Below are 27,462 nucleotides of genomic sequence, written 5' to 3' on the forward strand. Positions count from 1 at the left end.
CTATTGTAGTCATCTTGAACCTCTTTTGGGTTACATATTTTAGTCCCCTAGTTGTGGTTTTAGCTACAGGTTTTAGTTCTAGATAGAGATTTCAGTTCTCCACTTCTACATGAGCAAATGATCAAATGATATGTAAGTGGAAAATTTAACCCTCAGATAAAGGCTACTTAATTACCAGCTCCCGGTTCCAGACCTTTCAGCAGAGGTTAATAACTGTAATCAGTGATAGGTAGGTTTCAAACCGTTTTCTATACTTTTATAATCTGTATCATTCTTAGAAATATAAAAGGTATAGTGTGTGTGTGTGTGTGTGTGTTGGTAATAAATGGTATTATAGGGTATGTATTATTTTTAATGGGTTCTTATTCAACATTGTGTCTTGGAGATTTTTCCATGTCAGTACATGGAAATCTATAATATAGAACTTTTTGATAACTGCAAAGTATTCTGAAGTATGTGTATACCATAGTTTATTTAACCATCTACCTACTATTGGAATTTAGTTGTTTCTGGGGATTTTTTGGCTTCTATAAGCAGTGCTACTATAAGTCATTCTTGTACATTCTCCCTGGTGTTCCTCTGTGAATATCACTTTATAAGAAATGGAATTAAATGGGTCATAGGGTATGTGTGTTTTCATGGATTTTGCCAATTTGCCCTCTAGAATGTCTATACCAATATACATTCCTTCCAACAGTACCCATTTCCCCATATCCTTGGTACACTTTTATTATTATTTTTTCACCAAACAGATACATGAACCAAAGTAACTCATTTTCTATTTGACTTCTACCTTCTCAAAATTCTTATACATTTCTCATCCACCTATGGTATCTTTCTGTGCTTTAATGAATATTCTTCTTCTTTATTCTTTCTTCTAAATGTATCCTTGACATTTAGAAGAAAGAATAAAGAAGAATATTAATATAATATCATCTTAATATAATGTTAGAAGAAAGGAGAGGTGAGCACATGTCCTTACTCCACTCTCTTGAGCTGTCCTGACCTTGGATGATTGGCTGTGAGCACTTACTGGCTTGCTCTTGCACACCAGCATCTACATTCCCCCAATCCAAATTTGTGATGCAGCATAAATCTCTCTGTGGTATGAACCTTAGGGACCAACTCTTAAATGCTGGAAAGGACAAATACTATATTTTGTGCAGAATGGTAATTAAACATTGTAACCATTTCTTAGAGAATCATTATTAAATCAGGGAATCTTGTTATATTTTTGAAAATATATTAGAAATTATTTTTGAATTTTTTTAGGTATTAGAATATTTAAATGATCTGAAACAATATTGGAAAAGAGGATATGGGTATACTATTAACAGTCGATCCAGCTGCACCTTGTTTCAGGATATCTTTCAGCACTTGGACAAAGCAGTTGAACAGAAACAAAGGTAAGAACTTTCTAAAAAATGTGAAGTACATTTTGAGTTACTACTAAACTTCTGGAAATTTTTTTATAATGAGTAATTTTAAAAAATAGTTTTTGCTTGTGTTTTAAAAAAATTTTAATATAATGTGATACAAAAGAATTCGATAACATATATGTAAATTATAAAACATACGAACCTTCCACTCTACCCAAGAACTAGAATATTCATAATAAATTGCATTTGTTTACTTATGTGTTCCTCAACTATTCCATTTTCCTGCCTCCTCTTGCCCTTCCCTTTCCTCCAGAAACTATTCTTTGGAATTTTGTATTGGTCATTCCTTCGCCTCTTTAAAACAGTTTATATTATGAATGTATTGGTGCCCAAAGAATATATTTAGTTTTTCTTGGAATCATACTGCTTATTGTCTTTTGGGACTTGCTTTGTTTCCCCCCTCAACTTTATGTTTTTAATATTCAACATATTATTGCATATAGCTGTAGTTCATTTTCACTGTAGTACAATATTCAATAATGTGAATATACCATCTACTCTTGTCAGTGGGCATTTAGATAGTTCCTATCTTTTGCTGTTATAATTAGTGTAATTATGAACTCTATGTGGCTCCTGCTATGAATGTGCAAAATGTTTTTGTTTTGAAAGAGAAAAAGCTTTTGTTAACATTTATAATCTTCAATTAAAAATAATTTTTCATGACTTGAACCTTTGATAGAACCTCAATTCCAGGCTTGTTTCAAACTTCTGGGCTCAAGGAATCCTCTCCCGTTGGTCTCCCAAAGTGTTGGGATTACAGGCATGAGCCACTGCACCCAGCTGAGCACAGAGAACTTTGTAGGTGGTAGAAGTTTTCCCAAACTGGATTGTGGTGATTACACAGACAGCTGTATACATTTGTTAAGATATCTAACTCTTTAATTAAAACTGATGAATTTCATGGTAGTTATGCTTCAGTAAAACTTAATCTGAGTATTTAACAAAAGTGTAAAAAAAAACGGAATGAAATAATTTTTTGGTAAAAGTGGAAAAATTTTTTTTAAAGAAGACTCCATTTTTCTGAATTAGTAAAGTTTTTTTTTACAAGGCAACACCAAAATGCTTATGACATAATTACTGAAAATGTTTTAAAATTATTAGATCACTTCCCTGCATTGATGCGCAATATATTGGAAAATAATTGAATTTTTTTAATTAAGGATTTTACAGTGTCATAGGGTCATTATTTTTTAAAACAGTTTGAGAAATAATTCATATGTAGGCATGTCTCAAAGATAGTGCAAGTTCAATTCCAGACCACTGCAAAAAAGTGAATATCACAATGAAGGGAGTCACACAATTTTTTTGGTTTCCCGGTGCATATAAAAGTTATGTTTATACTATAATAAGTGTGCAATAGCATTTTGTCTTAAAAAACAATACATACATACCTTAATTTAAAAATGCTTTATTACTAGGAAATGCCCATGATCATCTGAGCCTTCAGAGAGTTGTAATCTTTTTGCAGGTGAAGGGTTTTGCCTCAGGTGTTGAGGCTGCTGACTGATGAGAGTGGTGGTTGCTGAAGGCTGGGGTGGCTGTGGCAATTTATTGTAAAAGAAAATATCAATGAGGTTTGCTGCATCAGTTGACTCTTTCTTTCATGAAAGATGTCTCTGTAACACATGATGCCGTTTAATAACATTTTACCCACAGTAGAACATATTTTAAAATTGGAGTCAATCCTCTCAAAGCCTGTCACTGCTTTGTCACTGTCACAATCCTTTGTTGTCATTTCAACAATATTCATAGTATCTTCACCAGGCGTAGATTTCATCTCAAGAAACCACTTTGTTCATCCATAAGAAGCAACTCCTCAGGTGTTCAAGTTTGATCATGATATTGCAGTAATTCAGTCACATCTTTGGGCACCACTTGTAATTTTCTTGCTATTTCCACCACATCTGCAGCTACTTCCTATCATCCATGAGGGTTGGAATCAGCCTCTTCCAAACTCCTGGTAATGTTGATATTTTGACCTCCTCCCATGAATTACAAATATTCTTAATGGCATCTAGAGTGGTGAAACCTTTCTGGGAGGTTTCCAGTTTACATTCCTCAGATCCATTAAAGGCATCACTGTCTATGACAGCTATAGCCTTATGACATTTATTTCTTAAATAAATAATATTTCTCTGTCATATGAAATTTCTGTTTTTTTTTTTTGAGACAGAGTCTCGTTCTGTCACCCAGGCTGGAGTGCAGTGGCGTGATCTCGGCTCATTGCAAGCTCCGCCTCCTGGGTTCACGCCATTCTCCTGCCTCAGCCTCCCGAGTAGCTGGGACTACAGGCACCTGCCACCACACCCAGCTAATTTTTTTTTTTTTTTGTATTTTTAGTAGAGATGGGGTTTCACCTTGTTAGCCAGGATGGTCTCGATCTCCTGACCTTGGATCCGCCTGCCTCGGCCTCCCAAGAAATTTATTTCTTAAATAATTTATTTCTTAAATATTTCTTAAATTTATTTCTTAATTAATTTCTTAAAATTTATAATGAAATCAAAATTACTACTTGATCTATGGGATGCAGAATAGATTTTGTTTTAGCAGACATGAAAACAACATTAATTTCCTTGTACATCTCCATCAGAGCTCTTGGATGACCAAGTGTATTGTCAATGAGCAGTAATATTTTGAAAGGAATCTTTCTTTCTGAGCAGGAGGTCTCAATAGTAGGCTTCAAAGAGCCAGTAAGCCATGCTGTGTAAAAATAGATGTGCTGTCATCCAGGCTTTGTTGTTCTATTTATAGAGCACAGGCAGAATAGATTTAGCATAATTCTTACGGGCCCTAGAATTTTTGGAATGACCAGTGAGTATTGGCTTCAACTTACAGTCAGGAGCTGCGTTATCTGCTAACAAGAGAGTCATCCTATCCTTTGAAGCCAGACATTGATGTTCTAGATGGTATCTTCTTCCAAAAGAAGGCTGTTTTGTCTACATTGAAAATCTGCTTAGTATAGTGACCTTCAGTTATCTTAGCTAGATCTTCTGGATCACTTGCAGTTTCTACATCAGGACTTGCTGCTTCAACTTACATTTTTGTGTTATGGAGATAGCTTTTTTCCTTAAACCCCATGAGCTAACCTCTGCCAGCTTCTAACTTTTCTTTTGCAGCTTCCTTACCTCTTAGCTTTTCTAGAATTGAGGAGAGTTAGAGCCTTGCTGTGGATTAGGCTTTGGCTAAGGGGAATGTTGCAGCTGTTTGGATCTTCTACCAGAGCACTGAAACTTTCTTCCTATCAGCAATAACATTCTTCCACTTTCTTATCATCCATGTGTTCACTGGAGTAGCACTTTTAATTTCCTCCAAGAACTTTTCCTTTTCATTCATAACTTGGCTAACTGACCCAAGAGACCTAGTTTTTGGCCTGTTTCAGCTTAGGACATGCCTTCCTCACTAAGCTTAATCATATCTAGCTTTTGAGTTAAAGTGAAAGATGTGTGAGTCTTGCTTTCATTTGAACACTTAGAGGCCATTGTAGGATTATTAATTGACGTAATTTCAGTATTATATCTCAGGGAATAGGGAGACTGGAGGAGAGGAAAGAGGATGGAGAATGGCTGGTCGGTGGAGCAGTCAGAACATATACAACATTTATCAGTTAAATTTACCATCTTATATGGGTGGGGTTCATGGCACCCCAAAACAATTACAAAAGTAACATAAAAGATCACTGATCACAGATCACCATAACAGATATAATAATCATAGTAATAATTAAAAAAACTTTGAAATATTGTGTATTACTAAAATGTGATACATTACTAAAATGTGATACATTACTAAAATGTGATACACAAAATGAGCACGTGCTGTTGGAAAAATTACACAGATGGCCTTGCTTAACTCAGGATTGCCACAAACCTTCCATTTGTGGCAAAATGCAGTATCTACAAAGCACAATAAATCAAAGCACAAGATGAGGTAATACCTGTATCATATACAGTTTACCTACTTAAAGTGCACAATTCAGTGTTTTAGTATATTCACAGAGTTGCACAACCATCACTACTGCAACTTTAGAACATTTTCATCGCCTCAAAAAGAAACTCTATATGCTGTGCCTTAGCAGTCACTCTCCATTCACCCTCACTCTGCCATCCCCTGGCAACCACTAATATATTTTCTGTCTGCATGCATTGGCATATTCTGGACATTTCATATAAATGGAATGATATAATATGTGGTTCTTTGTGACAGGCTTTTATGATTTAGCATCATATTTTTAAGGTTCTTCCATGTTGTACATGTAGCAGTAGCATGTATCATTCTTTTTCATGGCTGAATAATATTCCTTTGTATTACTATATCATGTTTTTGTTCATCTTATTTTCTTTTTTTCACCTTTTTTAAAGTTATACTTCAAGTTCTAGGGTACATGTGCACAATGTGCAGGTTTGTTACATATGTATACATGTGCCATGCTGGTGTGCTGCACCCATTAACTCGTCATTTACGTTAGGTATATCTCCTAATGCTATCCTTTCCCCCTCCCCCTACCCCACGACAGGCCCACGCCATGACAGGTGTGTGATGTCCCCCATGCTGTGTCAAGTGCTCTCATTGTTCAGTTCCCACCTATGAGTGAAAACATGCAGTGCTTGGTTTTCTGTCCTTGCGATAGTTTGCTCAGAATGATGGTTTCCAGCTTCATCCATGTGCCTACAAAGGACATGAACTCATCCTTTTTTATGGCTGCATAGTATTCCATGGTGTATAAGTGCCACATTTTCTTAATCCAGTCTATCATTGATGGACATGTGGGTTGGTTCCAAGTCTTTGCTATTGTGAATAGTGCCGCAATAAACATACATGTGCATGTATCTTTATAGCAGCATGATTTATAATCCTTTGGGTATATACCCAGTAATGGGATGGCTGGGTGAAATGGTATTTCTAGTTCTAGATCCTTGAGGAATCACCACACTGTCTTCCACAATGGTTGAACTAGTTTACAGTCCAACCAACAGTGTAAAAGTGTTCTCACATCCTCTCCAGCACCTGTTGTTTCCTGACTTTTTAATGATTGCCATTCTGACTGGTGTGAGATGGTATCTCATTGTGGTTTTGATTTGCATTTCTCTGATGGCCAGTGATGATGAGCATTTTTTCATGTGTCTGTTGGCTGCATAAATGTCTTGTTTTGAGAAGTGTCTGTTCATATCCACCCACTTTTTGATGGGGTTGTTTGATTTTTTCTTGTAAATTTGTTTAAGTTCTTTGTAGATTCTGGATATTAGCCCTTTGTCAGATGGGTAGATTGTAAAAATTTTCTCCCATTCTGTAGGTTGCCTGTTCACTCTGATGGTAGGTTCTTTTGCCGTGCAGAAGCTCTTTAGTTTAATTAGATCCCATTTGTCAATTTTGGCTTTTGTTGCCATTGCTTTTGGTGTTTTAATCATGAAGTCCTTGCCCATGCCTATGTCCTGAATAGTACTGCCTAGGTTTTCTTCTAGGGTTTTTATGGTTTTAAGTCTAACTTTTAAGTCTTTAACCCATCTTGAATTAATTTTTGTATAAGGTGTGAGGAAGGGATCCAGTTTCAGCTTTCTACATATGGCTAGCCAGTTTTCCCAGCACCATTTATTAAATAGGGAATCCTTTCCCCATTTCCTGTTTTTGTCAGATTTGTCAAAGATCAGATGGTTGTAGATGTGTGGTATTATTTCTGAGGGCTCTGTTCTGTTCCATTGGTCTATATCTTTGTTTTGGTACCAGTACCATGCTGTTTTGGTTACTGTAGACTTGTAGTGTAGTTTGAAGTCAGGTAGCATGATGCCTCCAGCTTTGTTCTTTTGGCTTAGGATTGTCTTGGCAATGTGGGCTCTTTTTTGGTTCCATGCGAACTTTAAAGTAGTTTTTTCCAATTCTGTGAAAAAAGTCATTGGTAGCTTAATGAGGATGGCATTGAATCTATACATTACCTTGGGCAGTATGACCATTTTCACTATATTGATTCTTCCTATCCATGAGCATGGAATGTTCTTCCATTTGTTTGTGTTCTGTTTTATTTCCTTGAGCAGTGGTTTGTAGTTCTCCTTGAAGAGGTCCTTCACATCCCTACAATTGTGAATGGGAGTTCACTCATGATTTGGCTCTATGTTGAGTAGGAGTGGTGAGAGAAGGCATCCCTGTCTTGTGCCAGTTTTCAAAGGGAATGCTTCCAGTTTTTGCCCATTCAGTATGATATTGGTTGTGGGTTTGTCATAAATAGCTTTTATTATTTTGAGATATGTCCCATCAATACCTAGTTTATTGAGAGTTTTTAGCATGAAGGGCTGTTGAATTTTGTCAAAGCCCTTTTCTGCATCTATTGAGATAATCATGTGGTTTTTTCCTTTGGTTCTGTTTATATGATGGATTACTGATTTATTGATTTGCATATATTGAACCAGCCTTGCATCCCAGGGATGAAGCCAACCTGATCATGGTGGATAAGCTCATCAGGGATATTGGTCTAAAATTCTTTTTTTTTGTTGTGTCTCTGCCAGGCTTTCAGGATGATGCTGGCCTCATAAAATGAGTTAGGGAGGATTCCCTCTTTTTCTTTTAACTGGAATAGTTTCAGAAGGAATGGTACCAGCTCGTCTTTGTACCTCTTGTAGAATTTGGCTGTGAATCCGTCTGGTCCTGGACTTTTTTTGGTTGGTAGGCTATTAATTATTGCCTCAATTTCAGAGCCTGCTATTGGTCTATTCAGGGATTCACCTTCTTCCTGGTTTAGTCTTGGGAGGGTGTATGTGTCCAGGAATTTGTCCATTTCTTCTAGATTTTCTAGTTTGTTTGCGTAGAGATGTTTATACTATTCTCTGATGATAGTTATATTTCTGTGGGATTGGTGGTGATATCCCCTTTATCATTTTTTATTGTGTCTATTTGATTCTTCTTTCTTTTCTTCTTTATTAGTCTTGCTAGCAGTCTATCAGTTTTGTTGATCTTTTCAAAAACCCACCTCCTAGATTCACTGATTTTTTTTGAAGGGTTTTTTGTGTCTCTATCTCCTTCAGTTCTGCTCTGATCTTAGCTATATCTTGCCTTCTGCTAGCTTTTGAATGTGTTTGCTCTTGTTTCTCTAGTTCTTTTAATTGTGATGTTAGGGTGTCAATTTTAGATCTTTCCTGCTTTCTCTTGTGGGCATTTAGTGCTATAAATTTCCCTGTACACCCTGCTTTAAATGTGTCCCAGAGATTCTGGTATGTTGTGTCTTTGTTCTCATTGGTTTCAAAGAACATCTTTATTTCTGCCTTCATTTCGTTATGTACCCAGTAGTCATTCAGGAGCAGTTTGTTCAGTTTCCATGTAGTTGAGCGGTTTTGAGTGAGTTTCTTAATCCTGAGTTCTAGTTTGATTGCACTGTGGTCTGAGAGACAGTTTGTTATAATTTCTATTCTTTTACATTTGCTGAGGAGTGCTTTACTTCCAACTATGTGGTCAATTTTGGAATAAGTGTGATGTGGTGCTGAGAAGAATGTATATTCTGTTGATTTGGGGTGGAGAGTTCTGTAGATGTCTATTAGGTCTGCTTGGTGCAGAGCTGAGTTCAATTCCTGGATATCCTTGTTAACTTTCTGTTTCGTTGATCTGTCTGATGTTGACAGTGGGGTGTTAAAGTCTCCCGTTATTATTGTGTGGGAGTCTAAGTCTCTTTGTAGGTCTCTAAGGACTTGCTTTATGAATCTGGGTGCTCGTGTATTGGGTGCATATATATTTGGGATAGTTAGCTCTTCTTGTTGAATTGATCCCTCTACCGTTATGTAATGGCCTTCTTTGTCTCTTTTGATCTTTGCTGGTGTAAAGTCTGTTTTATCAGAGACTAGGATTGCAACCCCTGCTTTTTTTTGTTTTCCATTTGCTTGGTAGATCTTCCACCATCCCTTTATTTTGAGCCTATGTGTGTCTCTGCACATGAGTTGTGTCTCCTGAATACAGCACACTGATGGGTCTTGACTCTTTATCCAATTTGCCAGTCTGTGTCTTTTAATTGGAGCATTTAGCCCATTTACATTTAAGGTTAATATTGTTATGTGTGAATTTGATCGTGTCATTATGATGTTAGCTGGTTTTTTGCTAATTAGTTGATGCAGTTTCTTCCTAGCCTCGATGGTCTTTACAATTTGGCTTGTTTTTGCAGTGGCTGGTACCGGTTGTTCCTTTCCATGTTTAGTGCTTCCTTCAGGAGCTCTTGTAAGGCAGGCCTGGTGGTGACAAAATCTTTCAGCATTTGCTTGTCTGTAAAGGATTTTATTTCTCCTTCACTTATGAAGCTTAGTTTGGCTGGATATGAAATTCTGGGTTGAAAATTCTTTAAGAAGGTAGAATATTGGCCCCCACTCTCTTCTGGCTTGTAGAGTTTCTGCCAAGAGATCCACTGTTAGTCTGATGGGCTTCCCTTTGTGGGTAACCCGACCTTTCTCTCTGGCTGCCCTTAACATTTTTTCCTTCATTTCAACTTTAGTGAATCTGACAATTATGTGTCTTGGAGTTGCTCTTCTCAAGGAGTATCTTTGTGGCGTTCTCTGTATTTCCTGAATTTGAGTGTTGGCCTGCCTTGCTAGGTTGGGGAAGTTCTCCTGGATAACATCCTGAATAGTGTTTTCCAACTTGGTTCCATTCTCCCCATCACTTTCAGGTACACCAGTCAGACGTAGATTTGGTCTTTTCACATAGTCCCATATTTCTTGGAGGCTTTGTTCATTTCTTTTTGTTCTTTTTTCTCTAAACTTCTCTTCTCGCTTCATTTCATTCATTTGATCTTCAATCACTGATACCCTTTCTTGCACTTGATTGAATCGGCTACTGAAGCTTGTGCATGCATCACTTAGTTCTCGTGCCATGGTTTTCAGCTCCATCAGGTCATTTAAGGTCTTCTCTAGGCTGTTTATTCTAGTTAACCATTCGTCTAATCTTTTTTCAAGGTTTTTAGCTTCTTCGTGATGGGTTCGAACATCCTCCTTTAGCTCACAGAAGTTTGTTATTACCAATCGTCTGAAGCCTTCTTCTCTCAACTCGTCAAAGTCATTCTCCGTCCAGCTTTGTTCCATTGCTGGTGAGGATCTGTGTTTCTTTGGAGGAGAAGAGGTGCTCTGATTTTTAGAATCTTCAGCTTTTCTGTTCTGGTTTCTCCCCATCTTTGTGGTTTCATCTACCTTTGGTCTTTGATGATGGTGATGTACAGATGGGGTTTTGGTGTGGATGTCCTTTCTGTTTGTTAGTTTTCCTTCTAACAGTCAGGACCCTCAGCTTCAGGTCTGCTGGAGTTTGCTGGAGGTCCACTCCAGACCCTGTTTGCCTGGGTATCACCAGCGGAGGCTGCAGAACAGCAAATATTGCAGAATGGCAAATGTTGCTGCCTGATCCTTCCTCTGGAAGCTTCGTCTCAGAGGGGATGGGTTGTCAGTCGGCCCCTACTGGGAGGTGCCCCCCCAGTTAGGCTACTTGGGGGTCAAGGACCCTCTTGAGGAGGCAGTCTGTCCGTTCTCAGATCTCAGACTCCGTGCTGGGAGAACCAGTACTCTCTTCAAAGCTGTCAGACAGGGACGTTTAAGTCTGCAGAAGTTTCTGCTGCATTTTGTTCAGCTACGCCCTGCCCCCAGAGGTGGAGTCTACAGAGGCAGGCAGGCCTCCTTGAGTTGCAGTGGGCTCCACACAGTTCAAGCTTCCTGGCGGCTTTGTTTACCTACCCAAGCCTCAGCAATGGTGGACGCCCTTCCCCTAGCCTCACTGCTGCCTTGCAATTCGATTTCAGGCTGCTGTGCTAGCAGTGAGCGAGGCTCTGTGGGCATGGGACCCTCCGAGCCAGGCGCAGGATATAATCTCCTGGTGTGCCGTTTGCTAAGACCATTGGAAAAGTGCAGTATTAGGATGGGAGTGTCCTGATTTTCCAGGTACTGTCTGTCATGGCTTCCTTTGGCTAAGAAAGGGAATTCCCTGACCCCGTGCGCTTCCCGGGTGAGGCGATGCCCCGTCCTGCTTTGTCTCATGCTCCGTGGGCTACACCCACTGTCTGACAAGCCCTAGTGGGATGAACCCGCTACCTCAGTTGGAAATGCAGAAATCACCTGTCTTCTGCATGGCTCACACTGGGAGCTGTAGACTGGAGCTGTTCTTGGAACCTCCTCCTCATCATCTTGCTTATTTTCTTATAATTTGCTTATCTCACCTACAAATAAATTACAGAGGGAAAAATGCAACTAATTGAGCACTCCATTTTTGGTAGCTAGTAGCTGATGGTATTTTAATAAACTGAGAAGCTAATGAGGTGAATTTTCATGCATGGCTTGTAGTAGCAGGTGCAGTTCTGTGGTGTAGAGGCAATATGACATAGTAGGCAGTTGCTTGGATTTGGTTTGACTCCTGGTCCTGCTTTATGGATGCTGCAGATTCCTTACTTTGGAAAAGAGGAATGAAGAATGCCTAGCCCTAATGTGAAAATTCAAAATACTCCAAACTCCAAAACTTTTTGAGTGCGGATGTGATGCAGCAAGTCAAAAATTCCACACCTGACCTCCTGTGATGGGTTGTAGTTGAAACTTTTAAAATTATTTAAAATATCGTATAAAACTACCTTCATGCTATGTATGTAAGGTGTATATGGAACATAAATGAATTTCATGTCTAGACTTGGGTCCCATCCCCAAGATTATATATATGAAAATATTTCAAAATCTGAAAAAATTTGAAATCCAAAAGATTTATGGTCACGAACATTTTGGATAAGGAATACTCAACCTATACCTCACCTGACTCATGGAATTGTGATAATCAAGTGAGATAATACTTATTAAAGCACTTAGTATAATATGATATACAGACATGGTATTGGTATTATATGTGATAGTTCTCTGGCCCAAACATGTCCTTAATGTCTTTTTCAGATATTCACACACCCTTCCCCTCTACCACCCCTGCCCCCCTTGGCAATTGTCCAAATAATGAAAACAAGAGCTTTGTGAGACTTATTCTTTTCAAACTTTATGGCGTCATTTATTAAACTAACTTCCTTTTCATTGCAAGATGGAAAACATTTTTACTTCTTTTGGATGATTATGCCTTGTGGCTTGAAAGGAAAATTCATTCAACAAAGCAGCTACTATGTTTATATGTCAGGCAGTGATGACTGAGGCAAAGTCATTGCACTGTGGCTCTTACAGTCTAGAGAAAATAAAAACATTTTATAAAAGCCATGTATAATGATATAACTGTTTATGTAAGATTGTGAAACAATGTAAGAAGTTGAAAGAGAGAGTTTGACCCTTTAAGACAGGAAATCGTTTTGGCCACCGCCTCTTGTTCTAACTGAAGAAGGAATCAACAAACACTGCTCAGCAGTGAGCGATGATGAAGAAACTGGCAGATGGTTTCCTGGGACTGGGTATCTCTGTACTAAAAGACTGATGAGGATTTTAAAAGATGCTTATTTTGCTGAATTAAGATTAAACCTTAAAATAGGAAAGGAGAATAAAGTACGGTTTGAGACTTCTGTCAGGTTTCTCTCCTAAAAACAGATTGACTAGTGCTGTGAGAAGCACTTCTAAAGAAAATCAATATATGCTCAGCAAGGAGCAAGTAAGTTGTTTTTTGTTTGTTTGTTTTTAACTAATGGACTTTTAAAAGTAATTTTAGGTTCACAGCAAAATTGAGTAGAAAGTACAGAGAGTTCCTACTTACTGCTTTTCTCCACACATTGACAGTCAGGCACCAGTGTGGTAGAATAATAAGCTTTTAATAGAATGTTTATCTTTGTGTTTTTCCTGATCTCTTCTATCAAAACATTAGCCTTTTTTTTTTTTGTACATGACTTAAAATCCTTTTTTTAAATTTGGAATTAGAGTTTATAAGTGAGTATTTTGACATCCATATTTTCTGACAAAATGACTTTCACTTTCCCAAGTTCCCAGGCTATTTTTGCTTTCTCCATCCCACCCCTACCCCTTGTTAGAATGTTAGTATGTATACAGATTGGTTTTTTTTAATATTAACATTAAATCAGGGACATTCTTCAGTGCCACTGAATTTTTTTTTCAACATAATTTTGATAGCATGGTTTTACTTCATGGAAAAAATGGAAGATTGCAAATTGTTAAATTTTCAGTTAAATATAACCGGCCCTTGAAATTCAGCTCCTTGCATTTTATTAGGAACTTGATTTTTATTTTCCTTTTTGCACCATCACTATAGTAATGGGATTAAAGTTAAAACCAGCAAATTTAAGCAGATATTTCTATTTAAGCAGATATTTCTATTTAAGCAGCTGTGATTAGAAAAGCAGATTGAATTCACTGAAGAAATGAAGTATCTCCAGATTTTATTTTACTGTCTCCTTCCCCATATATCTGTTAATATAATCTTTTTAGATTCGAGGATTTCAACAAGTTACTTCATGTTTTCTCAAAGATTTATTTTGGGTCTATAATTACTTGCCTCGAGATCTTCCATTTTAAGTTAATTACTATAAAATATTTTTTACTGTTACTAAATACCTCAACTCTCAGTGTTAACCTTTTTTTTCTACCTTTTTGTTGGGTTTCAAATCATTGATATTTTCAGATTTCATAGTCTATAAGGTATGGCTTTTTAAAGCTGTGTAGTCCCATATTTTAACGTAAGATGGCAGCATTGAGATAAATGTGTAGTGACACCAAGTGATTTTAGTTATTTGGTCAATTAGCCCATTGTAACAGGGGAAACTTGCTGCTTTAAAGTTCTTAGAAATGTACGCCAATTCTAGGTGTTTTTGCCAACTTTTTGAAGTCACAGTTCCATGGAGTTTAGCCAGGGGTATCAGGAATCTTTTCAGTGCTAGGAATCTCTGTAGTGTTGAAAGATACTGGCTAAATATTTTTTTTTTTTTTTTTTTTTTTTTTTGGAGACAGAGTCTCGCTCTATCCCCCAGGCTGGAGTGCAGTGACATCGTCTCGGCTCACTGCAACCTCTACCTCCCAGGTTCAAGTGATTCTCATGCCTCAGCCTCCCAAGTAGCTGGGATTACAGGCACCTGCCACCATGCCCAGCTAATTTTTATATTTTTAGTAGAGAGACAGGGTTTCGCCATGTTGGCCAGGCTGGTCTTGAACTCCTAACCTCAGGTGGTCTGCCTGCCTTGGCCTCCCACAGTGCTGGGATTACAGGATTACAGGGGTGAGCCACAGTGCCCGGCCACATACTGGCTAAATATTAATAAGTAAAAGTTTATATAACTAGCCTGGCTGTACTCTGAATTCATATTCAAATGTCCAGCTGCCTTTTGAATAGACACTTTTTGACTATCACTAGATTGTAGGTCTACTAAGTAGTTATTCATTATTTCTGCACAATTATTTTACCTTTGTACATTTTTTTTTAAAACTATTCTTGTTGAATTGTATCCAGTTTTGTAAGAATCACTCTTAAATCTGTTGTCATATCTATTCTTGTCATAGTTGGAGAGTATACCTACTCTGTGCTGACCCCAACAGTAGAACCGGAAGGCAAATCTTGTTTCAGTTACTATTTTAAAAAAAGAAACCTCACACACACAAAACCCCACAACTTTTTAATAACTGTTAAATAAGTAGAATAGGCTGTTTTGTGAAGTAGTAAGTGTCCTATTTTAGAAATATGCTAGTTGAATCTGGATAACTGTGTCAGAGATTCTATGGAAGAAATGCTTCTACCACCTAAGAGGTTAGGAAATTATTTCATGGCTCCATAACTAAAGGCTCAGTTCATTTCAATTCAGCAAGCAGTTTTTGAGCACATACAATGTGTGGTCACAATGCTAGGCATTGGGAATACATAAACATGGATAAGAAGTTATACCCGCTACATCCAAGGGGCTCTCAGTCTAGTAAGGAAGATGTCTTAAGAAAGTAATTTAGTCAAAAGCGAAAGGATGCTTGGGAAAGTAAGTCATCTCTGCAGTTCATGGTAGTTGGAAATGGCTTCTGTGTGGATGTAAGATGTAAGGTGAGCCTTAATCATTGACACTGTAGTGTAATGGAATTTGCATTGGCATAGGATTATTAAAACTCAAATCCTTGTTCAGCGTTTCCTAACCAAAATTTTGTCATCTTTAAAATTCAGGTAATACTCATGTTTCAAGGTGTTGAGAAGGTTGAGTGGAGTTCTGTGTTCATGTATGTCTGTGTACCACACAAATACATGTAAAGACACATTTATCTTTTACTACTATGCTTTACACAATTAAGTATTTTATTAATTGTTATTAATACCATCATGACAATCATTCCAGGCAAAATTTGGCTAGAGAAGAATAAGGAAGACATCAAGGAAGAAGAGTATTGAGCAAAGGCCTATGTGGGAATGAAAATGTAAAATGCCCAAGTTAATTTGATGGTTTGAGTTAGACAGTGTTGGGAAATAAGCTGTTAGGGTGTTATCTATGCCAGAGAAAAACAGTATACTTTACCTGTCATCTAGATGCTGATTTAAAAATTTTCCTGGCCTGGCGTGGTGGCTCAGACCTGTAATCCCAGCACTTTGGGAGGCCAAGGCAGGAGGATCGCTTGAGCCCAGGAGTTTGAGACCAGCGTGGGCAACAGGGGTAATCCCTACCTCTACAAAAGAAAAAAAAAATTAGCCAGGCGTGGTGGCATGTGCCTGTAGTCCCAGCTACTCACGAGGCTGAGGTGGGAGGATCACCTGAGCCAGGGAGCTCGAGTCTAGGGTGAGCCGTGATCATGCCACTGTACTCCAGCTTGGGCAACAGAGCAAGACCCTGTCTCTAAATAAATAAATAAATAAATTAAGATTGTTCCTATTTCTGCTTTAGTTATTTGTGTTAATTTTAAATAAGTTCCATGTATTCTGAGGTTTACACTTAAACATCTCTCTCCTTAATTAGAACATAGACAAGTAAAGTCTATTGTTATTTTTCAAGAATATTTGGACAAATCTATTGAAATAAATATACAGCGTTTTCCAGGTTATCTTTGATAACCCACTATGTTCAGGTTATTTGGCTGGCAACAGAGGGTATATACAAAGATGAATGCATTGAAATTGTCTCCAAACTCAAAGTTTAGAGAACACTTATAATAGCACTAAAACAGATAAAAACAAAATTACTGAGAGAGAATTAATTTGAACTCTTTGGGGTTTGGTAAAGGCTTTATGAGGAGTCTTTGAAGTAGGCTACCAAAGACTTTTCTTTCACTAATCTCAGCATATCAGCTCTTAGTAATTGTTTTGATGTGTTTTTTAATAACTCGATTGAGGTATAATTCATGTAAACTGTACATATTTAAAGTGTACAATTTGGTCAGTTTTTACATATATATATACGCCCATGAAACCATCACCATAATCAAGATAAAATATCCATCACATCCAAGTTTCTTTGTGACCCTTTCTAATTCACTTTCTACCCCCATTTTCAGGTAACACTGATACACTTTCTGTCACTATACATTAAGTTGTATTTTCTAGGATTTTATATAATGGAATCATAGTGAATTTTTTTTTGTTGGGCTTCTTTCACTCAACATAGTGATTGTAAGATTCATCTGTGTTGCTGATGAATCTAATAGTTCATTCCTTTTTAAGACCAAGTAGTATTCTGTTACATAGATCCACCACCATTTGTTCACCTTTTGATGAACATTTGGTTATTCACAGTTTTAAGGCTATTGCAAATAATGCTTCTGAATATTTGTGATCTTTGTATGTTATGATTTGATTTCTTGGGAACCTACCTAATTAGATGGAATGGTTGAGTCTTAAGTAGGTGTATTTTTCACTTTTTTTTTTTTGAGACAGAGTCTTACTCTGTTGGCCAGGCTAGAGTGCAGCGGCACGATCTTGGCTCACTTCAGCCTCTGTCTCGTGGGCTCAAGCAGTTCTCCTGGCTCAGCCTCCCAAGAAGCTGGGATTACAGGCATGTGCCACCACGCCCAGATAATTTTTGTATTTTTAGTAGAGATGGGGTTTCATCATGTTGGCCAGACTGGTCTCGAACTCCTGACCTCAGATAATCCACCCACCTCAGCCTCCCAAAGTGCTGGGATTACAGGCATGAGCCACCGTGCCCGGCCGTCTTTTTCACTTTTTAAGAAACTGCCAAACTTTTCCCACCAATGTATGAGAGTTTCAGTTGTTCCACATCCTGCCAACGCTTCATATGGCAGGTCTTTTTAATTTTAACCATTCTAATGGGTGTGTAGTAGTACTTTGTTGTGGTTTTAGTTTGCATTTTCATAATGATTAGTGATACTGAGCATCTTTTCATGTGCTTATTTACATCTATATATCTAGTTTGGTGAAGTCTTTATTTTGTGTGCTTTTTAATTGGGTTATCTTTATTACTGTTTGTGTGTGTGTGTGTGTGTGTGTGTGTGTGTGTGTGTGTTGTCTAGGTACAAGTCCTTTGTCAGATTTATGCTCTATAGGAATATATTCTCTTAGTCTATGGTTTGCCTTTCTTAAAAAATATATATATATTAATGGACTGATTTTGCCCCATTATTGAGGCATTTCACCCTGAGTATTTATATGTACCCTGTGTATTTTGAGGTTTTCCCACTCTGGCTTATGTGAAAACTATTCTGTTTTTTTGTGTTAGCTTTGGGAATTTTTTTTCTTTTTTTAGACGGGGTCTCACTCTGTTACCCAGGCCAGAGAACAGTGGTGCGATCATAGCTCACTACAGCCTCAACCTCCCAGGCTCAGGCAATCCTCCCACCTCAGCTTCCCAAGTAGCTGCGACTACATGCATATACCACCATGCCTGGCTAATCCTTAAAAAATTTTTAATACATGGAACTTATTTTTATTTATTTATTTATTTTTATTTTTTTCTCACTGTGTTGCCCAGGCTGGTCTCCTGGTGGGCTCAAGCAGTCCTTCCCCTCTGCTTCTGGAGTCACTGGGATTATAGATAGGAGTAATCTGTAATTAGCTCTGCTAATTTTTTTTTTTTTTTTACCTATTCCTTTTCAATGTTTTTTCTCCGGGATTTGGATAGTTTTCTCATACGCATGTGCTGTTCAGTGCCAGCTGAAAATTTGAGGGAGCCCCTGCTGGTCTGCAGCACTCTCTTCTCAGGTACTCCTGCTGTGAATTCAGCCAGTGTGGCCTCCCTAAATTCTCACTCCCATCTCAGCTGCTCAGGGCGACTTCCCGAGCTGTTTGGGCATCCCCTCCCTGTGCCATAGTCTGGAAACTCGGCAGTAAGCTGGGGCAGTTGTTGGAGTCACCTCCTTTGCCTTCCTTTTCTTATAACTATTGTTGAGTGTCTGAAACTTTGTATGTTTTGTTCAGCTTTCTGGTACTTTAAGGTAGGACAGTAAATCTGGTCCCTATTACTCCGTCTTGACTGGAAGTGGAAACTGTTTCAGTGTATTTTTGCTTGAGGAAGAAAAATGTCATACTTGAGTCATTTTAGTTCTTGATTTATGTTAAGCTGTTGGATTGGTGCTTCTCCAAATACTCACTGGAACTGATGTTTCAATTAGATGTGGAAGACTTAACAACAAATTTTTTTCTGGTAATTTTCTTCCCAAAGCATCTGGCAGTTCATGTTGCTTATTTGTATACTTACATAAATATGGGAATTATATGAGTTGTGTAAAGCTGTATTTGATATTCCTGGATCATGTTTAAAAACATACTTTGCATAACATCAATTGAGTGTGAAACGTGAATTAAGAGCTTAGAAAGATCTAGCTGAGTACATTTGGGGGGAAAACATGCAATTATTAGTTGTTTTTTCTGGTTGAGCTTTTTGAATAACTTGAAGTAGTTGCTTTGTATCCTTTATCTACTTTGAACACACACATAGTTATCAACCCTCATTAAAAGACAGGATTTTAGACTTAAACTTTGTTTTTGGTTGAAGACATAATAAAATCTCCTCACCAATTTCTGTAAGTAAAAGGAGGGGTGTAATTTGGAGAACTGCAGTAATCCTCTTAACCATTTTCACGCTGTTATTCCTAAAATAAGAAGGGTTGACCAGATCTCAAACCTAAAACATTATGATTCTGTATATTTCTATCCAGACATTTATATAGATTACTCATTTGCTTTCATATATTTGTATTAATAGTTTACATTTTCAAGCAAAATATGTATCTTTTCAAGTGGTTTTGTCACTTTTTGGAAAATGCAACATTCCAAGTTTAATGCATTTTTATCAAGGAGAGAGCAGAGTTAAAGGTGTAATTCCTTTTCTTTGGGATACTTCTGCCAAGAGTCTCAAAGAAAGAATAGTCATTACAATGTAATGGGGGATGTAAGTTAATTTGAGAACTATGACTAGTTGGATCAGAATGCAGAGCATCTGAATTTTTCTTAATTTGGTGTTAAATATTCATTCTACTTAGACATTTTAAATATAGTATTAGGACAAAATTATCAGACATTTGTGGAATATATATGACTTTGGGGATATAAACCAATATGGGACAGAATTATAGACACATTATTCCTCAGGATGTCACATTGTAATATATAGCACGGGGATTCTTGGGGTATAGAGTCTGAAATCCCAAAACTATATTTAAGTTTTTATGGACCACATGCCTTTCTTTAGTACGAAGTTCCATTTTCTTAGATTCTCAGATGGTTTCATGTCCTTTGTGAAAGTTAAGAACCACAGATGCAGTGAGGATTGAGTGATTGCTTTGGCAGCCCTCCTTTAAAAAACATTTACCTCTTCCTGTATTTTTTGCTTGTTTGTTTGTTTTGAGACAAGGTCTTACTCTGACACCCTGGAGTGCAGTGGCGTAATCATGGCTTATTGCATCCTCGACTTCCTGGGCTCAAGTGATCCTCATACCTCAGCCTCCCAAGTAGCTGGGACTACAGGCATGCGCCACAGCGCCTGGCTAATTTTGTGGGGAGTTTTCGTAGACACAAGGTCTCTCCATGTTTCCCAGGCTAGTCTCAAACTCCTGGGCTCAAGCAGTTCTCCCATCTGAGCCTCCCAAAGTGCTGGGATTACAGGCGTGAGCCACCATGCCCAGCTTATTCTTCTGTTAAAGGAAAAACTTGGTCCTTTCTGTCATGGTATCCTGAACCTCACCACTCTGTTTATTGAATGGTAGTGACAAAGCCACATGAGACCATAGATAAAATATAGCAATCTTTATGCTCTTAGCAATCTTATGACAAAATACATGCAAGAGGTTTTATATAAGAAGAGCATAATTATGAGTATAAACTGAGAAGGAATTCGTTTCACATTTGTTGTGTTTTTTGCCCTCCTATACCTACATGCCTATGTTTCTCTCTCTTTCTCCTCTCTGTCAGTCTCTCTCCTCTCTCTGTCTCTGTCTCTGTCTCTCTCTCTGTCACACACACACACACACACACACACACACACTTTCTTACTCCCTCATTCAGACATATACACATGCTCATACCCATTTATTGTTGCCAGTATTTTGGGCTTGTTCATAGACCAGCTTTGGTTTGTTGGAGAAGGTTGGAAGTGAAACCAGAAAAGTTGTCATACCATCTTTGTGATTTTGGTGTATTCAAAGAGAAACTGGAGATTTGGTTCCTTCAAATAGTGATTGGGCATATACTAACTGGAGTTCCTAGGAGATGGTTTAAGAACCAGATTGGACTCTTTTAAGATTAACTCTAAATTGTGACACAGGGCAAAGAGCAGCATGTTCATAGACTTGGAACCAAATCACTTCTTCATAGAAATTAGTGATTTACTTTATACAGTCCTGGCATATACCTTTAATGGCTTCTGGTAAAAATTGGATCATAAATAAATACTTTTGTGAATTTGTTTTTCGGTGTTTAAAAGTTATAAAAACAAACAAACCCTACTGTATGTGCACACACACAAACTCCACAGCTGTCTCAGCTTCCACCAGTTGAAGGTATCCAAGTCTCCATTTTTGGTGTCTGTATACTTGCAATAGAAACATAATTTGTTTTTCCATTTGACACTATGCTACTTAACTTTGTCAAAGAAAATAGAAATGTGAGTAATCCTTATAAATGGGCAAACACAGCTATTTAAGAAGGATTATATATTAGCTCTTTGGAAGCTCTTTTGGTCATAGATAATTACCTGGAGGCAGTTGTTTTTTTATATACCCGAGTTTGATATTTTGCCAGTTGAGTTTCAAACAATGAAGTAGAAATTTGTTTATATATTGCTTAGTCATTCTTGTTCATAAGAAGAGCATTCTGAAATTCTTAACTATGAATGGGACCTTGATTTGAACCATATAGTTTAAAATGCCTGAAAAATTATTGGCTAAGTCCTCTTGAATTTTATACCTCATGATTATGAGTTAGATGTTTTACTTATTCCTTCTTTGGGAGTTGTTTGGAAAAAACTCAAACCCTGTTTTTCCTCTGCCTTCACACCAACACAACAATAGTCAACACAACTTCTGCGTTAGTCCATTCTTGCATTGCTATAAAGAAATACCTGAGGCTGGGGAAGAGACACTTAATTGGCTCACAGTTCTGCAGGTTGTAAAAGCATGGCTCCAGCATCTGCTTCTGATGAGGGCCTCAGGAAGCTTACAGTCATGGTGGAAGAGAAAGGGAGCCAGTGTACCACATGGTGAGAGCAGGAGCGAAAGCGAGAGAAGGAAGAGGTCCCAGGCTTCTTTACACAACCAAATCTCATATGAACTAACTGAGCAAGAACTGACTTGTCACCAAGGGGATGATGCTAAACCATTTGAGAGGGATCCTCCCCCATGTCCCAGTCTCTTCCCACCAGGCCCTACCTCCAATGTTGGGAATCACGTTTCAACATGAGATTGGGAGGGGACAAACATCCAAACCATATCATTCCAACCCTGGCCCCCTAAATCTCATATCCCCACATTTCAAAATACAGTCATGCCTTCACAATAGTTCCCCAAGTCTTAACTCATTCCAGCATTAACTCAAAAGTCCCAAGTCTGAAGTCTACAAAGTCTCATCTGGAGATGAGTTTCTTCCACCTGTGATCCTGTGAGATCAGAAATGAGTTATTTACTCCCAAGATACAGTGGTAGTACAGACATTTGGTATACCTCCTATTCCAAAAGGGAGAAATCAGCCAAAAGAAAGGGGCAGTAGGCTCTGTGCAAATCTGAAACCAGCAGGGCAGTTGTTAAATCTTTTTTTCTTTTTCTTTTTCTCTCTCTCTCTCTTTTTTTTTTTAAACAGAGTCTCACTCTCTTGGCCCAGGCTGCATGATCACAGCTCACTGCAGCCTTGACCTCTCTGGCACAAGCCATCCTCCCACCTCACCCTCCCAGGTAGCTAGGACCTCAGGAGTGCACCACCATGCCTGGCTAATTTTTGTATTTTTAGTAGAGACCGGATTCCGCCATGTTGGCCAGGTTGGTCTTAACCTCCTGAGCTCAAGTGATCTGCCCACCTCAGCCTCCCAAAGTGCTAGGATTACAGGTGTGACCCACTCTGCCAAGCCAGTCTTTAAATCTTAAAGCTTCAAAACAGTTTCCTTCTTGCCATGTGAAACCTGCTTCCCCCTTGCCTTCCGTCATGATTGTAAGCCTCCTGAGGCCCTCCCCAGAAGCAGATGCTAGAGCCACGCTTCCTGTACAGCCTGCAGAACCGTAAGCCAAAATACACTTGTTTTCTTTATAAATTACCCAGTCTCAGGTATTTCTTTATAGCATTGCAGAAACGGACTAACACAAAATTGGTACCAAGGCATGGGGCACTGCTATAAAGATACCTGAAGATGTGGAAGTAGCTTTGGAACTGGGTAAAAGGCAAAGGCTGGAAGAGTTTGGAGGGCAAAGAAGACAGGAAGATGAAGAAAAATTTGGAACTTCTGAGAGACTGGTTAAATGGTTGTGAACAAAATGCTGATAGCGATATGAACAGTGAAGTCTAGGCTGATGAGGTTCCAGATGGAAGTGAGGATGTTATTGGGAACTAGAGCAAATGTTACCCCTGTCACATCCTAGCAAAGAACCTGGCTGTACTGTGTGCCCTAGGGATACCCTCATCAGTTTTTCCTCATTCAAGATGTGGCCTGGCTGCTTCTAACAGCCTATGATCTAATATGGGAGCAAAGAAATGACTTAAAGTTAGAACTTATATACAAAAGGGAAGCAGAGTGTAAAAGTTTGGAAAATTTTCAGTCAAGCCATGTGGTAGAGAAAGAAAAAGTATTTTCAGGAGAAGAATCCTAGCAGGCTGTGGAGCAACCACCTGAAAAAGAGGTTATCATGGCCAGGGCACAGTAGCTCATGCCTGTTAATTCCAGAACTTTGGGAGGTCAAGGAAGGAGGATCACTTGGGCCCAGGAGTTCAAGACCACTCTGGGCAAGAAAGTGAGACCTCATCTCTACAAAAAATAAAATAATTAGCTGGGTGTGGTGGTGCATGCCTGTAGTCCCAGCTACTCAGGGGCAGAGGCGGGAGGACTGTTTGAGTCTGAGGGGTCAAGGTTGCAGTGAGCTATGATCACTAAAATGAGTTTGGTCATTTCTAAGACACTGGATTATAAGACATATTAAAAGAAGATGTTTTAAGTTAGTATTATGTCCAGGTAAGGTTTCTTAAAAATAAATTTTTTAAAAAGAAAACAAAGTTAGTTTTATGAGAGAAGGGGGAGGCCCCAGACTCTTAAACAACCAGATTTCATGTGAACTGAGAAGTCACTCATCACCAAGGGGATGGCACTAAGCCATTCAAGAGGGATCCATCCCCATGATTCAGTACCTCCCACTAGGTCCCGCCTTCAACATTGGGGATCACTTTTCAGCATGAGATTTGGAGGAGACAAACATCCAAACTATATCAACTTCTGTGACCCAGTGTTGGGGGATGGGGGTTCCCCACCAATAAGCAGCAGACACCAGCTAGGTATCCTCTAATTTTGACACTATCTGCCTGGATGTAGCATCAGATCTTACAAGTTGAGGACTCAATCCCCAAGATTGCCCCCTGCCCTTTTCAGACACCAGTCATAAGTCTGGGCCTCTGGAACACCTGACTGACTGGCTTCAAGTTGGGGTTTTCACAGCCCCCTCTTTGGGTTCACTTAATTTCCAGGAGTGGCTCACAGAGCTCAGGAAAACATGTTTACCAGTTTAGTATAAAATATTACAGAGGATACAAATGACACATAAAATGAGGTATGGGGGAAAGGATGTGGAGCTTCCATGCCCTCCCAGGGCCACACCGCCCTCCAGGAACCTCCACATTTTCAGCTGTCCATAAGCTCTCCAAACCCTGTCCTCTTGGGTTCTTATGGAGGCCTCATTACTTAGACATGATTAATTAAACTATTGGCCATTGGTGATCAACTTGACCTTCAGCCCCTCTTGCTCTTCCCTGAGGTTGAGGGATGGGCTTGAAAATGCTAACCCTGTAATCATGCCTTTGCCTTTTTGCTGACCAGCTCCATCCTGAAGCTATCAATCAACATGAGCATGCAAAAAGACAGCACTTTGGAGATTTCAAGGATTTTAGGAGTTTTGTACCAGGAAACAGGAACAAAGACCAAATATATATTATATTTCACAATATCATTGGAACCTTAAGAAAGAAGCCTCTCTCCTTTCTTACGGAGCCTAGAGGAATAAAGATAATAATAAAGATTACTTTATTTATGAATAGTAATACTTTACAAAGTAATCTTTATTATCTTTATTCTAGTTTGCCCTTGAACCATTAAAGGTTACTAAGTTGAATTCAGGCTGAGAAAAACAAAATAGCAAAGAAAAACATTTATGTTTGAGATTTTAGTGATTTATATTCTGAGATGTTATGTAATGGAAATACTTTTGAGATAAAGCAAAAAATACTTAACATTCTTTTAGTTGTTGCAACTTATTTAAGAGTGTGTGTAATTCTTACCCTTGAAACCTCAACCTAGACATTTAGTGAATTCTGTTTTTGAAATGGGAAAATCAAGAATAAAGTCAGATTTTAAAAATTGTATAAAACATGTAGTTGCTAAAATGTAATTTTAAGTCCTCCTTAGGGTTTCAGTTTTATGAACCCTATGTCCTCCTTAAGGTTTCAGGAAACCTCCTTAGGGTTTCATGTTGATAGCATATTATATGAATTATTATGGCAGTTTTTTCTATTTTATAAGTTGTTTTTCTCTGAGATAAAATTTCTCTAAGTGGGATTTTTAATATTCAAGCTTTCTTGACTTTTTTTTTAAAAAAGACATAAACCAAACCAAGTATATTCTTACCTGTATCTAGTAAAGATTTGTGTACATACATTTAGGAGTGATTTATACATATGTCTTGAAGTGATAATTTGTTTTAGGTGATTATATGTTTTATACATGTTTGTGTTATACTTCACCAGTAGTGATATTGTCAAGCAAAAAAAAATATGCAGCATCATAAAATTAACTTTGTTTTCTTTTTAAAAAATTTATTCTTAAGAAACCTTACCTGGACATAATACTAACTTAAAATATCTTCTTTTAATATGTCTTATAATCCAGTGTCTTAGAAATGACCAAACTCATTTTAGTTATATCTAGGAAATCAAAGGTAAAGATGGAGAGATTGGCAAGGAGAGGAGGTTCATGAATTGAGAGTAGAATGTGTAAGAAGCATGAAATAGATCACATCGAGTCTGGATACAACCTCAGAATCCTTCTCAATGCAGTGTTCCAAATAGCTATTAATTACTGATTGGAGATTTGGCCCAGATACTGGTTTTATGACTAAAAGTTGTCATTTATTGACATATTCTCTTTCTTCTAAGCAAGAGTAAAAATTTAGATGCATACACCCTTGTCTTTGTTCATCTGCTTAGAGGCTTACATCATTAGTGATCATGTCGTGGGGCAAAATTGGGATTCAGCCCCGGAGGCCACATGGTTCTTGGCTTCACGGAGGCAAGAATTCAAGAGTGAGCCAAAAGACTAGAGCGAAAGCAAGTTTATTAAAAAGTAAAGGAATAAAAGGGAGGCTGCCACATAGGCAGAGTAGCCTTGAGGGCTGCTGGTTGGCTATTTTTTATGGTTATTAATAAATAATAGCATAAATTAATCGTATGCTAAACAAGGAGTGGATTATTCATGAGTTTTCTGGGAAAGGGTAGGGAATTGTCAGGACCAAGAGTTCCTTCCCTTTTTAGACCTTATAGGGTAACTTCCAGGAGTTGCCGTGGCATCTGTAAACTGTCACGGCACAGATGGGAGTGTCTTTTAGCATGCTAGTGTATTCTAGTTAGCACATAATGAGCAGTGAGGATCATTGAGGATGAGCAGAGGTCACTGTCTTTGCCCTCTTGATTCTGGCTGGTTGTGGCTGGCTTCTTTACCACATCCTGTTTTATCAGCAGGGTCCTTGTGACCTGTGTCTTGAGAAACACGTTCTGCCGAATTATCTCAATCAGCTTTTTATAGAACTGTGCTTTTCACTGAATATTTTTTTCTTATTGCACGTTCATTTCAGATGAAAAACCTGAGAAATGTGGTCTTCGCCTTTGCGTTGGAAAAGAATTGATGCCTTATTTAAGAAACAATCAGCTAGGTGTGGTGGTTCACACCTATGATCCCAGCACTTTGGGAGGCCGAGGTGAGAGCATCACTTGGGGCCAGGAGTTCAAGACCAGCTTGGGCAACAAGCTAAGACCCCGTTTCTACAAAAAAAAACTTTAAAATGAGTTGGGCATGGTGGTGCACTCCTGTGGTCCTAGTTACTTGGGAGGCCTACGTGGGAAGAGTGCTTGAGCCCAGGAGGTCGAGGCTGCAGTGAGCCATGATCACACCACTGTATTCCAGCCTGGGTGACAGAGCGAGCTCCTGTATCTTTAAACAAAAACAAGGAAAAAAATATCATTTAAAAAAAATTTTGTGGGATTTTACATGTGCTTTTGCCAAATTGCATGTTGCTGAAGAGTGTTACTAAGCACTGACAACAGAGTCTTCCTCAGTCATTATGTTGAAATACTATGTTTCTTCCCACAAATAAGAACTGATTTGATTTTAAATTATTATTATTTTTTTTCCAAGACAGATTCTTGCTCTGTCACCCGGGCTAGAGTGCAGTGACGTGATCTTGGCTCACTGTGACCACTGCCCCCTGGGTCAAGTGATTCTTCTGCC

General features: G+C 38.4%; 1 protein-coding gene across 5 annotated transcripts in view, besides 1 other annotated feature; it reads left to right on the plus strand.

Moving 5' to 3' along the window:
• The window catches only part of MINPP1 (multiple inositol-polyphosphate phosphatase 1), a 48,569-nt gene that overhangs the window by 14,871 nt on the left and 6,236 nt on the right, over positions 1-27,462 (plus strand). For 3 of the 5 annotated variants that reach the window (XM_011540379.4, NM_004897.5, NM_001178118.2), the window contains one exon: positions 1,273-1,406. The exons of the other annotated variants lie outside the window; for them this stretch is intronic. In XM_011540379.4, coding sequence (XP_011538681.1) covers positions 1,273-1,406 — 134 coding nt within the window. The remainder of the gene's footprint in view (positions 1-1,272; positions 1,407-27,462) is intronic. 5 annotated transcript variants of the gene reach the window in all.
• Positions 17,477-17,526: a silencer, noted in NCBI's record as "silent region_2582". NCBI's record gives its function as "represses an Ori minimal core promoter by ATAC-STARR-seq in GM12878 lymphoblastoid cells {active_cell/tissue: GM12878}" and the evidence as "EXISTENCE:reporter gene assay evidence [ECO:0000049][PMID:35858748]".

Source organism: Homo sapiens, chromosome 10, assembly GCF_000001405.40.
Source record: "Homo sapiens chromosome 10, GRCh38.p14 Primary Assembly".
Classification (NCBI taxonomy): Eukaryota; Metazoa; Chordata; class Mammalia; order Primates; family Hominidae; genus Homo; species Homo sapiens.